The sequence below is a fragment of the Homo sapiens genome, chromosome 4, assembly GCF_000001405.40.
Source record: "Homo sapiens chromosome 4, GRCh38.p14 Primary Assembly".
NCBI lineage: Eukaryota > Metazoa > Chordata > Mammalia > Primates > Hominidae > Homo > Homo sapiens.
Window position 1 is genome coordinate 112010142 of NC_000004.12, and position 17124 is coordinate 112027265.

General features: G+C 38.0%; 1 long non-coding RNA gene across 4 annotated transcripts in view; it reads right to left on the reverse strand.

The window, feature by feature from the left end:
* The window catches only part of LINC02945 (long intergenic non-protein coding RNA 2945), a 308805-nt gene that overhangs the window by 206676 nt on the left and 85005 nt on the right, over positions 1-17124 (reverse strand). The window contains exon 2 of one of the 4 annotated variants that reach the window (NR_186681.1): positions 10273-10374. The exons of the other annotated variants lie outside the window; for them this stretch is intronic. This is a non-coding gene — a long non-coding RNA (long intergenic non-protein coding RNA 2945). The remainder of the gene's footprint in view (positions 1-10272; positions 10375-17124) is intronic. 4 annotated transcript variants of the gene reach the window in all.

A 17124-nucleotide genomic window follows, 5' to 3' on the forward strand; every position in this document is an offset into this window, starting at 1 on the left:
AGAAGCATCGGAAGTGGGTCCTGCAGGGCTGAGGAGGCATTCTGCTGGGTGCTTTTTAAAAATGTTTCCTCCAGAGTCATCTGCCTCATTGACAATGGTTCTTGTAAGTCTTTCTTTGATTTTATAAACTGACGTGATTTCTTATTCTGTTATGAATGCATGCTGCTCTAGTCATTCAATAAGCTCATCACTCATTTTCACCACGTTATCTATAGGCACTTTTTCAACAGTGTTAACAATATCATCTTCATGATCACTATTATCATAATCACCTTGATTCAGAACCATTTTGGCTATTTCACCATCAGACAACGAATGAACAACTGTTAAAAACTTCTTCAATATCCACTTCTTCCAGCTTACTGATGGACTCTGAAGGTATATTTTTGCATATGTAAGAAGGTCAGGCCTGGATTTTTCTCACTTGACATATGAAATCCTTCAAAATTGCCACCTTGTTCATCATCATCGCTGAGCATAATCACAGGCCAGAGGTTGTGCCAAGCACACACAAATGTATCTTCAGTGTTCTAACTGTTGGCAACAGCACGTACAGCATCCTTCATGCTAAACTTCTTTTGAAACCTTCCACACCCACACCTCTGTTCACTGCTGCTACCATGATGTTCAAGAAAGTGTTTTTATATTTACTCTCTATTGATCTCAGGATACCCTTGTCAGGTGGCTGAATTAATGAAGTCACATTTGGGGGAAAGTACACGGCATAAGCATTATTTTTTATGAGAATTTTAGCTGAAGGAAATAAGCAGAACAGTTTTCAAGAAATAAAATCTTTTGGTCATCATGCAGTCTAGCTTCCCTGTAGTGAGCACAAGATGCTGGTACAAAATGTTTGTGAAACTGATCAGAAAAGATGTTCCTGATGATCTATGCCTTTCTGTTAGCATAATAATGGACTGGTAAGAAATTCACTCCTCTGTAACTGCAAGGACATGGGTACAAAAAAATAGTTTAAAAGAATGAATAAGATCTAATATTTGATAACACAACTAAGTGACATAACCAATAATAATTTAATTGTACATTTAAAAATAACTAAAAAATATAACTGGATTGTTTGTAACATGAAGGATAAATGCTTGAGGTGATGGATAACTTCATTTACCCTGATATGATTATCACACATTGTATACCTGTATCAAAATATCTCATGTACCCCACAAATATATATACCTGCTATGTACCCACAAAAATTAAAATTAAAAAAATTTAATAAAATAAAACTGCAAGGGCACAAGCTTGTGCCTATCACACCAAGTGTGCTTACACATGCCTGCTGCATTAGCACAGCCGAGCACAGTTCTTCTGACCTTGGCATCTTTGATTCCTGTAGGGGCTGTTTTATCATCTGCAGTCAGTGACTTTCTGGGGCAATAATGCCAAAACAGTGACGTTTCATCAGCATTATGGACTTATTCCGGTGTCAGATTTCATCAGTGATGACCTCGGCAAACACATCCATGAATTTCTCCACCGCCATGTTATCAGCAGATATTTTATCACCACAAATATTTAAAAATGTAATGCTGTCTTTTCTTAAATTTCTGCAACCAGCCTGTTGAATATTCACAGTTCCCTTTGGTTCATCGTGATAGTTCTTTGCTTGTTTCATTTACCATTAAGTGTCATGTGTTCACTGCAACACTGATGGCCCTACTCTTTCAGTACATTATCAAGATTTTCGTTTTTAAATTTATGCAGTTTTTCTATTTTTCATTAACTTGTGTTTATCACTTTCAGGATAGAACTTAACAGTTTATCCTCTGTTGCTTCAGGTCATATACGGTGGTCATTCCAACACCATACTCTACTGCAAGACATTTCACACTTACACCACCGTCCAGTTTCTCCAGCAGTTTGGCCTTTGGTGCTACAAAAACACAAATGCTTCCTGTTTTCCTTTTTTTTTTTTTTTTTCATTTGGGCTAGAGTCTTGCTCTGTCGCCAGGTTGGAGTGCAATGGCGTGATCTCGGCTCACTGCAGTCTCTGCCTCCTGGGTTCAAGCTATTCTCCTGCCTCAGCCTCCTGCGTAGCTGGGATTACAGGCACACGCCACCACACCCGGCTATTTTTTTTTATTTTTAGTAGAGACGGCGGTTTCACCATGTTGGCCAGGGTAGTCTTGATCTCCTGACCTTGTGATCCACCCTCCTTGGCCTCCCAAAGTGCTGGGATTACAGGCGTGAGCCACTGCGCCTGGCCATTTTTCTTATCAATGTTACCCACAGGGGTTTTTTCAGGCCTCTTTGACATTTTCAACAATACATTTACACCACAGAGCAGAGAATAAGTGAAAATGACAGTCAGTAATGAATGTAGGTCTTGACCTCATGTGGGGTGTTGTGGAGAACCTGCTGTTGGTGCATTCAGCCTACACATCTGCCATTTTATTACCCTTTGTGGACATGCTTGCATGGGGGAATATGTGTGTACCTGGAAAAGATATACTGCAGCTAAAGGGGACTAGGGGACTCTTTTTTCCTTTGGGGAGGCTGAATAAACTGTGTGTTGTGGGCCTGCATTTTGACTGCAACCCGTTACATTAAATCAGATATGGAATTTTCCACTTTGGAGAATCAGTTGACACTCAAAAAGTTTCAAATTTCGAAGCATATTGAATTTGAGATTTTTGGATTAGGGATGCTCAACTTGTAGTACTTTAGCATGCTGGTATACCCTTCAGTGATGAAAGAAGTGGTATCTAAACAATGATGAAAGGAATAACATCTAAACCTTCTTGAATCCTTAGGGATGAAATAGATGAACAGTCCAATAATATCTGTGGAAATCTAGGATTGGGGGAAAATTTCTTAATCTGACCTAATGAACAGAAAATTGACTTGCATGACCATATTGACAAGTCTTAGCCTTTCATCCAATTGTCAATTCTAATTCAGTTTCCAAACCCAGAGCCTCTTCAGTGAAAAGGATGCTGGGACACCTGTAGGAAGAAGGCTATGATAGCACCCTGAGTTAGTGCCATAAATCTTCCTTCTGCCTTTTCCTAAAAGAATTGGAGTCATTTACACCTCCCTACACATCCCAGGGCTTGTTTACTGGCTTAGTGCTAGAATGAGCTATAGAAGACTCAGTTGCAGCCCCTATTGTGAGAATATACCTTGCAAGGTATGGTATGCTCTAGAGTGTGGCTGCATTCTGAACCAGCAGCCCATACATGCTATTTTTCATACAGAAAAGATACATGGGGCCAGGTGTGGTGGCTCATGCCTGTAATCCCAGCACTTTGGGAGGCAAAGGCAGGAAAGACAGGTGGATCAACTGAAGTCAGGAATTTGAGACCAGCCTGGCCAACATGGTGAAGCTCCATCTCTACTAAAAATACAAAAAGTAGCCAGGCATGGTGGCGTGTGCTTGTAGTCCCAGCTACTGAGGAGGCTGAGGTGGGAGAATTGCTTGAACCCAGGGGGCAGAGATTGCAGTGAGCCGAGATCATGCCACTGCACTCCAGCCTGGGCAACAAAGCAAGACCCCCTCTCAAAAAAAAAAAAAAAGAAAGAAAGAAAGATAAAAGAAAAAAAAAAGAAAAAAAAGATACTTGGATTTATGTTAGGAACCAAACATGCTCCGAGTGATTCACTTTCAAATTTTTTGCTTCTCAAAACTAAAGGTCTCTGAGAACTTTTGGGGAGTCCACAAGGTCAAACTACTTTCACAATTATGCTAAGTTTTTTTTACTTTTACACTATGTTGACGTTTGCACTTGTAGTGGGTAAAATTGTTGGTGCTTTAGCATGAATCAAACCGTACTAGCAGCCCTCATGCTCTTCATGTCCATGCACTCACAATAGCCAGAGAATCCAGCCAGTTTCACTCAGGAACGCATCTGAGGAGTCAGTGCAAACTTAATTGTATTAACTCTTGGCCCATGAGTACACATATTTTTAATATTCTGTGTGATGAAATGGGAAAGATGCATGGAGTGTTTTGACTGCACACCAAAGGACAATGATTCGAGAAAAAACCACTGTGTGGGCCAGGCGCGGTGGCTTAGGCCTGTAATCCCAGCACTTTGGGAGGCCGAGGTGGGTGGATCACAAGGTCAGGAGATTGAGACCATCCTGGCTAACACGGTGAAACCCCGTCTCTACTAAAAATGCAAAAAAAAAATTTAGCTGGGCGTGGTGGGGGGGCGCCTGTAGGTCCCAACTACTCGGGAGGCTGAGGCAGAAGAATGGCGTGAACCCGAGAGGCGGAGCTTGCAGTGAGCTGAGATCGCACCACTGTACTCCAGCCTGGGCAACAGAGCGAGACTCCGTCTCAAAAAAAAAAAAAAAAAAAAAAAAAACCTACTGTGTGATTATTTGAGTTGTAAGCTGAACTAGCCATTTTTACTTTTTAAAAAAAAGATTGAAAGACAAACTAAAGCTATTCATATTGAGATTTGGAAAATATTTTTCTTGAAAATGAACAAAGAGAGCTTATCACTTCAAGAAAACATCTGACTTTATATATGGCCAATGATAAAACTTATTTTCAGGAGAATTTCAAAGTCTGAAAAACTTTCATTCATAACTGTGAGCTTCACAGCTTTCTAAAACTTGAAGACTTCTGTTTGGGTCAGTGGTAATATTAATGTATATGAATTTTTAATATTGTATAATGAAATGCATCAACTTTAGGAAAATCAGAATAACTCACAGAACAAATATTTTTCAAATGACCAATGCATAAACATTACAAAATCATAAAAGATCCATTAAAAATGCAAGACAGACCAATGAATTTTAATGTTACAGAGCCCTAAAAGTTTACTGGGGTGGTGTCAGATTCCACAGTGCAACCAACCCATAAAAAACTACAACTTCTTAAGTATTAGTGTGTATCAAAAAGAATATCCACAGTTATATGAAAAAGCTAGAAAAATGCCCTCTCTTTTTCCATTTACATTTCTGTGTGAGGCTGGACTTTCTACATATACTTCTCCCAAAAAAAATCCCAATAAAGTAAATGTAGAACCCCAACTATCTTCTATTAAGCAAGACATTATAGATACTTGTAAGCATGTAAAACAATGCCACTCTTCTCCTCTATAGTTACTTTTCATTAAAAATATGTTCTATTCAATTAGAACACATGGATACAGGGAGGGGAACAACACACACTGGGGCCAGTTGGGGGCTGGAGGGCGAGGGGAGGGAACCTAGAGGATGTCAGTAGGTACAGTGAACCACCACGGCACACGTATACCTGTATAACAAACTGGCACATTCTGCACATGGATCCCGGAACTTAAAGTAAAATTTTTAAAAAATGTTCTACATGTTAACATGTAATGAGTTTATTATCATTATTTTTAAGAAAGTAATAAATAAATGTCAAAACTGTCATATGCTTAATTTCAAATATGATAAATACCAATAGCTGTACCTTATTAAAACAAATTCTCTTTGAGAAACTTGATATTTTTTAAAAGTATAAAGAAGTCCTGAGACCAAAAGTTTGAGAACTAATGAAACTTAAGACTCTTTCTCTTTTCTTTTTCTTCCATAATTAAATGTTGTTTAATAGTTCCTGAAAGTCTATGGCTGACAAGTATGATGAAAACAAGGATTTATAAAATAATTGTAAATTTTTATATAAATTGAAATGTAATTCAATAAGTATTCTTATGTTTATTTTTATAAGTCATTTTTACAGTTACTGCTTTGTCAAAACTAATATTTCCATTAAAAAAAGTTGAGGTATCTTCTAATAAGTTCCTTGAAATGAACTTTTCCTTGAAAATCATCTCTTTTTTAACTATAGGCATATTAAGCTAAAAATGTCCTCTCTTCATTTGGGCTTCACACATATGCAATTAATCTTCCCTCAGCTGAAGACATTTAGCGGCTTTAATGTCTCCTCACAAATCAATACTTTAGTTCTCTTTATCACTGTTATTTCTCCTTTCTGGATTTCCTCCACGTTTCTTTTCTAAGAATTCACAAAACTGCAATGTGATCTCCAGTGATGGCCTCTCCACCCTGTGGATGGGAGCTACCTGTTGCCCGCTTGCCTGATGTAAAGCCCAAAATAGCCTGGATATCTCACCCATCATTGCTGGATTTTATCTGATTTTTTTTTGTCCTCAGTCACCTTGAGATTTCTAAAGGATCTATTGGCTTCCAGATTGTTCTTTCCTACTAACTTTTTTGAATTGCAGATCAATTTCCCACATTTCAAGTGAAATACCCATAAAGATGATCTTGTCAACATTGTCAGTTTTGTAAAATAATAGGAGAGCTACACTAAAAAGAAAGTTGAGTAAGAACAAAAATAACATTCAACCACAATAATTATATGTGCATGCCTTCACACAAGTTTCAAAGTTTTGAAAGATAATGATTTTTAGTCATTTAAGTTTAGGCATCAAAAGTAACATATACAGTCCTTTGGTCCAAATATCCGATCTTCCTTATCATCAGGTTACATCAATCTTTCCAGCATTTCATTATTTTCCTTTATTACTTATTGCTATTGTGTTTTTTATCAAAGGAAAGTACATTTTAAAAGTTGTTTTTTAAAGGAAAAAGATCATATATTTTATATGAAATATTTGTTTTCTTTCACATAGTAGGACTCAGAAGGTGTCTTTAGAGCCTTGACACTTTTCCATCTACTGGGTTGTAAAATTTTCATATTCTTAGCCTCTCGGGAAAGCAATCACTATTTAGCAGATATAAGCCAGGAGTCACCCAAATTCAAAAACTGCTGGATAATTAATAGAAAAAAAACCTACGCATTTATAGATTTTTTTTCTGAAGACACTGTGAAAGAAAATATAGGGAAAAAAAGTTAGATTAAGACTTTTTTTCCTTAAATCATATTCTTCTAATTATTTCTGAGATGTATTTTATAAAATGTTTGAGAAGAAATGAACTGAGAATTAGACTGCAGAGATTACCACCACACTCCACAAACAAGATAAATTGTGTAACCATATCTGGCATCTATTTGTGCTTTCGAACATCAGTCAGTCAAATGCATTGGGTGTTATGATGATCTGAGCACTATTCCAAGTTCCAGGAAAGATAAAGTTATTTTCAAGAAGCTGGTATTTATATATTTACTTAGTAAACTTGGTGTTGTTGCTAATTAGAAGCTAATGAAAATAAGAAAAAAAATCCCTATGTATTCTAAATCCCTTTAAAAGATAACTGGAAAACTTTAATTAAGAAGGCTAAGGAGATTCTGGTTTAAAATACTCCTTATTCATATTGAATATTCCCAGAAAATATGTTTTATTTTTAAGGTACTATCTTTAAAAACTTCACTCCTTTTCTTAAACAAAGAAATAATTGATGGCTATCATTTTGTGAGGGTTATTAATTTGGTGATGTAGCTGTTTCTCTTGGTTTTTCAGCCTTGCTTTGTTAGTCTTAATGAGCATTAGGAAACTTCAGATAAGCATAATTTTGTTCCCTTTGACTTTCAAAATAACAATACATAACGTAGAACTTTGCAGATTTTACTTAGTAAAGCATATCAAAGAGTTTATGATTTATTGCAAGAAAATTCATTTAGGAAATTCATATAGTAAAGTAATTTGTTTCTTAGCAAAAGTTAATGTTATAATATCAAACTTCTAATGACAGTTTTCATCATAATGGCCAAAAAACTATCTCTTGTTATCTTTATGGATTATCTCCATTCAACTTTCCCCTCCAAGAGTGGTATTTTTTAATGTGGTTCATCGACAACATTTTCTCTAGCAATTTTTTGTTTTGTCTGGATTTGATTCTTATTGTTAAATCTCTACAATTCAATGTACATTTATTGAGAGTCTCAAGTGTGCAAGGCTCTGGGCTAAGCACAATTAAATCCCTAAATCCTATTGCAAAATCCTGTTTTGCCTACATCAATGAACCCATTTCAGAGAGTAAATAACTGCAATAACCTTATAATTGGTCCCCATAACTTCAATTTATCCTTCTTTCAATGCCACTTGAAAAGTATAGCCAGATGAATTGCAGAACAGAAATTTAATAACAACTCTGCTCAAAAGAAATAAGAGGCTCCACATTTCCAAAGTAAGTTCACATATTGTTTTTAGCCATGGAACCCTTTGTTTAAATGAAATATTTGAAAATAACCCAATACACGAAACAGATGAAAGCAAAGTTCCTTGGGTTAGGGTAGGAAAGGGAGCAGATACCACAGACTGAAAGGATAGACTTTAGGCTTCTTATCCTGTATTAAAAGTGTTCAGGCCGGCACAGTGGCTCATGCCTGTAATCCCAGCACTGTGGGAGCCCAAGGCGGGCAGATCACAAGGTCAAAAGATCAAGACCATCCTGGCCAACATGATGAAACCCTGTCTCTACTAAAAATACAAAAACTAGCTAAGCATGGTGGCACGTGCCTATAGTCCCAGCTACTCGGGAGGCTGAGGCAGGAGAATTGCTTGAACCCAGGAGGCGGAGGTTGTAGTGAGCTGAGATTATGCCACTGCTGCACTCCAGCCTGGCAATAGAGTGAAACTCCATCTCAAAAAAAAAAAAAAAAAAAAAAAAGTGTTCCACAGGCCAGCCTGTAATCCCAGCACTTTGGGAGGCCGAAGTGGGCAGATCACCTGAGGTCGGGAGTTCAAGACCAGCCTGGCCAACATGGTGAAACCCCATCTCTACTAAAAATACAAAAAATTAGCTGAGCATGGTGGCACATGCCTGTAATCCCAGCTACTTGGGAGGCTGAGGCAGGAGAATCACTTGAACCCAGGAGGCGGAGGCTGCAGTGAGCTGAGATCGGACCACTGTACTCCAGCCTGGGTGAAAGAGTGAGAATCCATCCCCCAAAAAAAAAGGAAAGAAAAAAGAAAAGAAAAGGAGTATTCCACAAGATAATATCCGTATTCCTTAACTACTATGCTCCTCACACTATCCCACTCTATCCCATTCCTGAAACTTCTGGATCATGAAGACATTTTGATCCTTTTTCTCTCAAATACATTGCTACATCTGTCACCTTTGTTTACGCTATTTATCCTAAATGAAAGACACCTTTCTCCCACAACTTTGACCACTGAAGCAATTTCTAACCATTATTTGAGGCCTAGTAAAGTTTTGCCTGTTTTCAAACCTCTGTGAATGCCATGAGAAGTAATGAATATTTTCTCCTGTGTTTATCACATAGACTGCCATTTAGCAATGTTAGATCATTCTATGTAGTTCTTATGTAGTTCTATGTAGTTCTAATGTAGTTTAAGGCTGTTTGTCCAAGATTTCCTAATTGACTCATAAAATATCCACCTAGTTAGATGATTCCTAGGCAACTTCCAATCCTGTTTTTCCTGTGGTTAGAGATCTGTCAGATCATTGTCAGTCTCAAAGCTTTAGTCTCTTTCTTAGTTATCTATTGCTGCATAAAAATGTACCACAAATTTAGCAGTTTAAAACAACACACACTTATTATCTCACAGTTTCTGTAGATCTGTAGATGCAATTTCTGCAGACAGCTTAGCTAGGTCCTCTGCTTAGGGTTTCACAAGATGGAAATCAACATTATCAGCCAGGGCTGTGGTCTTACGTGAGGCTTGGCTGAGGAAGGACCCACTTCCAAGCTCACACAGTTATTGGCAAAATTCAGTTCCTTACAGGTGTTTGGGTCAGGGTGTCCCCACTTCCTGCTGTCTGTTGGCCAGATGCCAACCTCAGTTTCCCGACACATGACCCTCTACACGGGCAGCTTGCAACATGGCCACTCGCTTCATCAAATTTAGCAAAGGACAGGGAATCTGCTTGTCAGACATGCATTACAGTCTTATGAAACATCTTATGCTTATGAGCACATACAGATAATCACAGACATCTTGTCACCTGTGCTATATTCTACATGCCTAGAAGCAAATCCCAGTTTCTGCCCACACTCAAGGAGAGGAGACAGGGGACTACACGAAGGCATGGGGATCATAGAAGCCACAAAAGGCTGTCTGCTAGTCTGCTAAAATTACTACGTCAGTGAAGGATGCTTAGAATATGTGAAATCAAGATTTTTAAGTCAGTTCCAGACATCTAAGGACTCTGCCCACACACTAGTAAGAAGTACACATATGTTGCAACATGCTAAGTAGTTTTATCAATAAGTAGTGTTTGGATAGGGAAAAAAATTTTCCTGGGATATATACCAAATACCTGACCAAAATCAGTAGGGCTAATCTGCCTTTGTCTCTATTCAAAAGACTTTCCCAAAGGACTAAATGAGGACAGGACCTAAAGTCCTGGAAACAGTTGAATTTCATGAATGCTACTTACCAATACAACTAGGGTTGAAAAAGGCTGATGTGGGACAGAGTGTAGCACATCACCATCAGTGCCTCACAGGGGCAGGATTACAGACATCCTCTTCCAGAACATCTGAAAAGTCAAAGTTTATTTAAAATTTGGCCAGAAGCAAATTCATAAAGAATGAAGTTCAGATTCTCATAAAGAATGAGAGTCAATGTCAGCCTCAAAGGCTAGAACATCTTCTGTGAGAAGATTTGAGGGACATTCTCAGAAAATAATAGAATGGAAGAACTGTTGCTAAAATTTTATGATGTCAGGCTGTACACATCAAAGTTCTCAATCAGGAAATAGCTTAAGGAAATTAAACAGAACAAGACAAAGAGACAGGTTAGAATATTATCCAAAAATGGAATTAGATTTAAAGTGAGGTCCGAAAATGGGTTTTCTTTGGCATGTCTCAAGCTGGTTCAGAGGAGTCATTGATTCATTCATCCTTAAAGAGACATACACACAACATCTATCTCAACAGGGTACCTTATCCTGGTCAGCTTTCCTATAACTTTCTTGATAAAAGAAGGGATTTGGAAATTTCTCGAAGTAGGAGAGCACTTCAGGAAAGTTACATTAATGTGAGGTCAACACAGTTAATCAGATATTTTTCTAAAAACATATTCTAACGGCTTAAATATTTTATACTATTTCTCTCTACAACATAATTTTTTAGGTTTATATCAAGGTTTCCAGATTCCATTAGCATTTTCTAGAATTAAATCTATGCAAAGATTATAAGGTAAAGACTCATCAAATTAAATCTGTGGCTGCTTTCTTAAAGATGTATCCCAAATGACTAGAACAATACTTGGCTTAATAGATGCTCAATAAATATTAGTTTAGTGATCGAAAAAAAATTAGACCTGGAAATGACTTCAAAGGCCTTGGGGTCCAGTTCATGTCTCACTCAGTGTAATCCTCCTCAGCTTTCTAATTGTGAGTCTCTTATATTTGCAGAATATGTTAGAGTTGATAAAGTTTATTCGTATCTATTATTTTATTTTATTTTTACAAAATGTACTATGATCAGTATTAGTATTCTTCACTTAACAGATGAAAAAACAAAGAGACTTCAAAAAGTGAAGTGACATGCCCAAGATAACACAACAAGCTATGGACAGAAGTGGGCTACCCCTTCATGCCAGCCTTGGTCCTTCTCTATTGAATTATAAGTTCTCCCCTTTGCAGGTAAGGGCAGCATAAGCCAAAAACAAAAACAAACAAACAAAAAAAGGCTGAGCAGCAGCAAAACCACCAATTTCTTAGAAAGACTGTCTTTGCACCCTGGCTACAATGTGCCAAGCCACTCTTCACTGGGAAGAGTGCCTGCCCCTCTGTTCTAAAGATTCTGATAAAGACTCAGTGATAATAGTCCACGTTATCTCAGGTCCTCCATTAGCACACTGTCAATTTAAAAAAAGAATGACTGTAGTTGTTTGTCAAGCATTGCTTCTATTAAGACCTTAAACATATGGCAAGAATGGGAAGGAAGAGTAAACGCTTTTACACAGTGACTGCAATATAGTAGGCATTTAATGAATTTTATCTTTAAACAATAGTTAAAAAATTGTCAACTTTGTCAAATATGGGCTTTACAAGGACTGCTTTCACCAACAGTATTCTTCCTTCACCCTTCTCAGAAACTTTGTAGTTTCTTAAGGAAAACAGATCAAAAGTAAAAACCTGTTTTTTTAATTGTGGCAATGGCATGAAATAAAAAAAAAAAAAAGAGCTAAATTTATTCGACTATATTCCAGGTGCCAGCTCCTGGATGTCCCCAAGTCCTCCAAATTATTCATTTGAATCTTTCTTTCACTTATGATAGGAAATCCATCTTTCTGTATCTCTAGGGATTCAGGCTGAGGGGGTAGATTATGTTGATTCTAATAATCTCTGTCCTCCAGTTACCACTTTGTCATAATTTTCTAACTTTAATGCATGTTGTAAGTTTTCCCTACTATATCTGAGACTACTATGGTATTAATCCCAGAATACCAACAAAATTCAAACAAAGTTTCACTGAAGGTTTAATAGCAACTTAAAAATTAAACATGTATGGTTCCAAAAATACCTTATTATTTTATTTTGCCTTTTTTGAGCTTCATAAAAAAAGTTATCACTTAATACATAATCTTCTGAGACTTGCCTTACTTTATCATGTTTCTAAAATGTATCCATATACTTACAGTTTCAACAACAATGATAATGTACTGGTTCTTAGGCTGGGAGTGAGTTCACAAGTGTTTGATTTGTTATTATGCTTCAAAGTTAAAATCACTATACATTCTTTTCTTTGTATCAGATATTACATTTTAAAAACATTTTAACTAATTATTAGCCATCTTAGTTCTTAAAGTTTCTATAGCCATTAACACCTCCAAGAACTTCTCTCTTCCGATCATCCATGCCATGGATCCCAGTCAAGACAGTTACCCAACTCCAACTTCCCTCTTTCTCTCCTCTCAATAGCTTTTTTCTAATTGCAGTTCTTAATCCTTCAATTCCTGTTTTCTTTTTAAAGTAATTTTAGAAAAAGTACTAATTTTTCTAAGAAGAAAAATTATTCAACACTAACTTGTAATAAACAACCCCAATGTCAGAGTGGCTTAATACAATAATACAACACTCTTGTTCATATGAAATCCAGAGCTCAAGTTCCTGGCCAAGAGATCTCTTTAACAACTCCTCCAAGTGATCAACTCAGGATTCAGGCTCTTTCCATTGTGTGTTCCACCATCTCGAAGGCCTTCTCTTCCTGCCATGTGGTTGAAGGAGCAAAGAAGATCACACAGAGACTTTTAATGGCCATGCCTGGAAGTGCTATACGTCACTTCCACTCACTTTCCATCTGTAGAGCTCAGTGACACAGTCCACCCACACTCCAGGAGCTACTGGGAAATATATGTCTTCCTGTGTGCCCAGGAAAAAAATAAAATAGTTTGGTGAACTCAGAGTATTGTTTCTGGTCCTCTTTTGCTTTTCCAGCCTGTTTGGGCTATTGAGGAAATGGGAAGACAGAGGGTGGGAAGTGTTTTTATATCTTTCACAAGCAAATATAATATCATGCTGTTTTGTATACAAAAACCAACCTCTTTGTATGAATGAATCTGCTACAACACTATAATTTTGCAATAACAGAAGGTTTCCCTAGCAACACTTCTCTTTGGCAATGGCCTTCTTTATCTTGGGAAAGGGAAAGAGAATGACAAAGTCAACAGAGGTTCTGAACTCATTTATTGTTTTCAATTTATCTTGGACCCAGTTGCCTTAAAAACCAGGAGAGAGGGTTTTAAGAGAGAAAAAGGCAACACGAATCACAAAAAGCTTGGTTTTGCATATAAAGAGCCAAAGTCTGGAAGACTGACATCCTGAAGTGTATGCCATAAGCCTTAGACTGAGGAAAACTGCATCGTGAAAGACAAGCAATTTCTCCAACACAAAGGATACTATATGTCAGCCAGTTGTGGGAAAGGAAGAATCAAGGGTGACCTACTAGAGTCTAAATAGAGACTATGCCTGAGAAAAAGGCCTCATGCTCCATCTCTCTGGGCTAAGTAATGATTAGGAGGAATGACTGGAGGGTGGGAGACATCTCTGCATATACTGATGAAAATCTGAGATAGCGTCTCAGATTCCTTCTCAATGATCTTTCTGTTCTGGGATCAATCCCAGATAAGTTTGAAGAGAGAGATCCCAGAACAGAAGGATAATTGCCTAGCTATTAGGAGTATAACTCAGAAGTTGAGTAGAGAAGTCCTCCATCCCACATTGGATCTGAAATAGCAGTGGCTGAAAGGGGTGACTAGGCAGATGGACCTGAGAGCTTCCTCAGAGAGCCCCAGCACTCCAGATGATGTGGAGTGCCACATGTGAAAGCAGCAGCCAGCTTTCCTCACAACTTTAGAGGAAGTCAGACAAGACTGGGATTCAAAACCCCAAAAAGGCCGTGCAGTGGGGATAAGAATTAGAGGCCAAGATAAAGTGTGGATTCAGCAGCAGGGACAGAGGCCAATGCCCAAGACCAGGAGAAATCAGTGACACCTGGGTTGGGGCCAGGAGGCTCAGCAGGCCAGGTGGCTGGCTCCCCATGCCAGAAAGAAACACAAGACAAGCACCATCACCACCCGCCAGGATGGTCAGGATTGCAGAATCATAATTAACTAAGTTGTTACCCAAAAGAGACTTAAAGTTTAACTGCAAATGCTAGTTACTTTAAATTGACAATAATGAGTTGGTCCTCATCAACAGAAAATGAGGACTTGAGTAAGCTTAAGTTACCTTTTTTTTCACAGTTAAGTTGTAACTTGTATCCATTTACAACTATATCTCTGCTCTAAACATTTTCCTGATGGTGCACTGTGTTTTAGGCTCTGCGCTAGGTGTTAGGTATACAAAGATAAATATGAACTCCTTTTATAGTCTCATAGTGGAGCAGGTATGTTAGCTAGGCTATAGGACCTGCTATATCATAATATTTGTATTAGGATACAAATATCTTAAATAACAGGGGCTTGTCATCATCACTGGCCATTAGAGAAATGCAAATCAAAACCACAATGAGATACCATCTCACACCAGTCAGAATGGTAATTACTAAAAAGTCAGGAAACAACAGATGCTGGAGAGGATGTGGAGAAATAGAGATGCTTTTACACTGTTGGTGGGAGTGTAAATTAGTTCAACCATTGTGGAAGACAGTGTGGCGATTCCTCAAGGATCTAGAATCAGAAATACCATTTGACCCAGCAATACCATTACTGGGTATATACCCAAAGGATTATAAATCATTCTACTGTAAAGACACATGCACATGTATATTTATAGCAGCACTGTTCACAATAGCAAAGACTTGGAACCAACCCAAATGCCCATCAATGATGGACTGGATAAAGAAAATGTGGCATATATACACCATGAAATACTATGCAGCCATAAAAAAGAATGAGTTCATGTCCTTTGCAGGGACATGGATGAAGCTGGAAACCATCATTCTCAGCAAACTAACACAGGAACAGAGAACCAAATACCACATGTTCTCACTCATAAGTGGGAGTCGAACAATGAGAGCACATGGACACAGGCAAGGGAACGTCACACATCAGGGCCTGTCAGGGGCTGGGGGGCAAGGGGAGAGAGAGCAATTAGGACAAATAAGTAATGCATGTGGGGCTTAAAACCTACACGATGGGTTGATAGGTGCAGCAAACCACCACGTATACCTTTGTAATAAACCTGCACATTCTGCACATGTATACCAGAACTTAAAGTAAAATAAAATAATAATAATAATAACAGGGGCTTAAACAATAAAGAAGTGTATCTTTATCACACGGCAGTCTTACTGTAAGCAGTCCAGGGCACATACGATAACCCGTACTAGAAGGGACCAAGGCCTCTTCTGCCTTACTGGTCTGCCATCCTGGTGTGTTGCATACCTCTTTATTGTCAAAAATGGCTCATTCTTCAGAAAGAATAGTTAATGGATACTGGGCTTAATACCTAGGGGATGGGATGATCTGTGCAGCAAACCACCATGGCACACATTTACCTATGAAATGAACCTGCATATCCTGCATGCGTACCCCTGAACTTAAAATAAAAGTTGGAAAAAAAAAACGGTCTGTGCTCACCAAAAAATAAAATTATTTCACCAAAAAAGGCTCATTGTACCCACATTCCTGTCAGCAGGGAGGGGAAAGGGATAAGGCAAGGGCAAACCCTTTATTTAAATCACATGTTCCAGAAATTGCTTACACTGTTCTGTGCACAAACCACTGGCAAAGAACTCAGTCACATGGCCATACCGCATAGACAGATTGGAAAGTGTAGCTCTCAGTAGGGCAACCATATGCCCTAATTAAATCATTTTACTACTCAAGGAATGACTAGACATTGAAAGAAAACTGTAGCATCTGCTTTAGTCTGTTCCTCTGACTTTTTAAATATTCATGCTATGTGACCCAGCAAAGGAAAGAAACTAACTTCTAAAGGGAAAATAGAGGAAAGTATGAAGAGATGAGACAGCGTGCTGATCAGAGAGGCCTTCAGAGAAGAACTGATGTTTGAACTGAGTTTCATAAGGTGAGTAGAAGCTCACTAAGAGGACTGAGAAGAGTAAGGGTGTTTAAGGTGAAGGGAAATGAAAATCATGTGCAATATCACAGAAGTGTGAACTTTGTTGTTTTATTTAGGAAATTTTAGATAGTTCTAAAAGGCCAAGATGAGATTGGCTAGGTAAGAAGAAATCAGATAATAAATAGCCTTAAATGGCCAGCAAGGCATTTGGCCATTGTTCTACAGGTAAATGGAAAATGCTGATGAAATTTAAGTAGGGAAGTGACATAATCATGTTTATAGAGTTAAAAGATTACTCTTGAGACAATGCAGAGGATAGACAAGACTGAAGACTGGGAGAAGATTTAGAAGGCAGCTGAGATTGTACAAAAACAAGATTACAAGGGTATTAAGGCAATACACATAAGAAATAAGAGCTTTAGGTAACAGATTCTGAAGGACTTTGTAATTAACTGACAGCAGAAGTGAAGAGGCAGGAAGATTATTGGATGCTTGGACTGATACACTTTAAAATAGAGAATTCAAGATGAGATCATGGATGTGTTGAATTTGAAGGTACTATGGATACTAAGAAACACTCAAATGAAAAATGACCAATAATCATACAAAAATAAGGACCGTGAATTCAGGAGGGAGGTCTAAAATGGAAATGTGTGTTTGGGAGTCATCAGTGTGATGTGGCAGTGGAAACATTTGATATCAATGAAGATACATTGCTTGAGAAGAGAAGAACTTGAGCAAGAACAATATTGC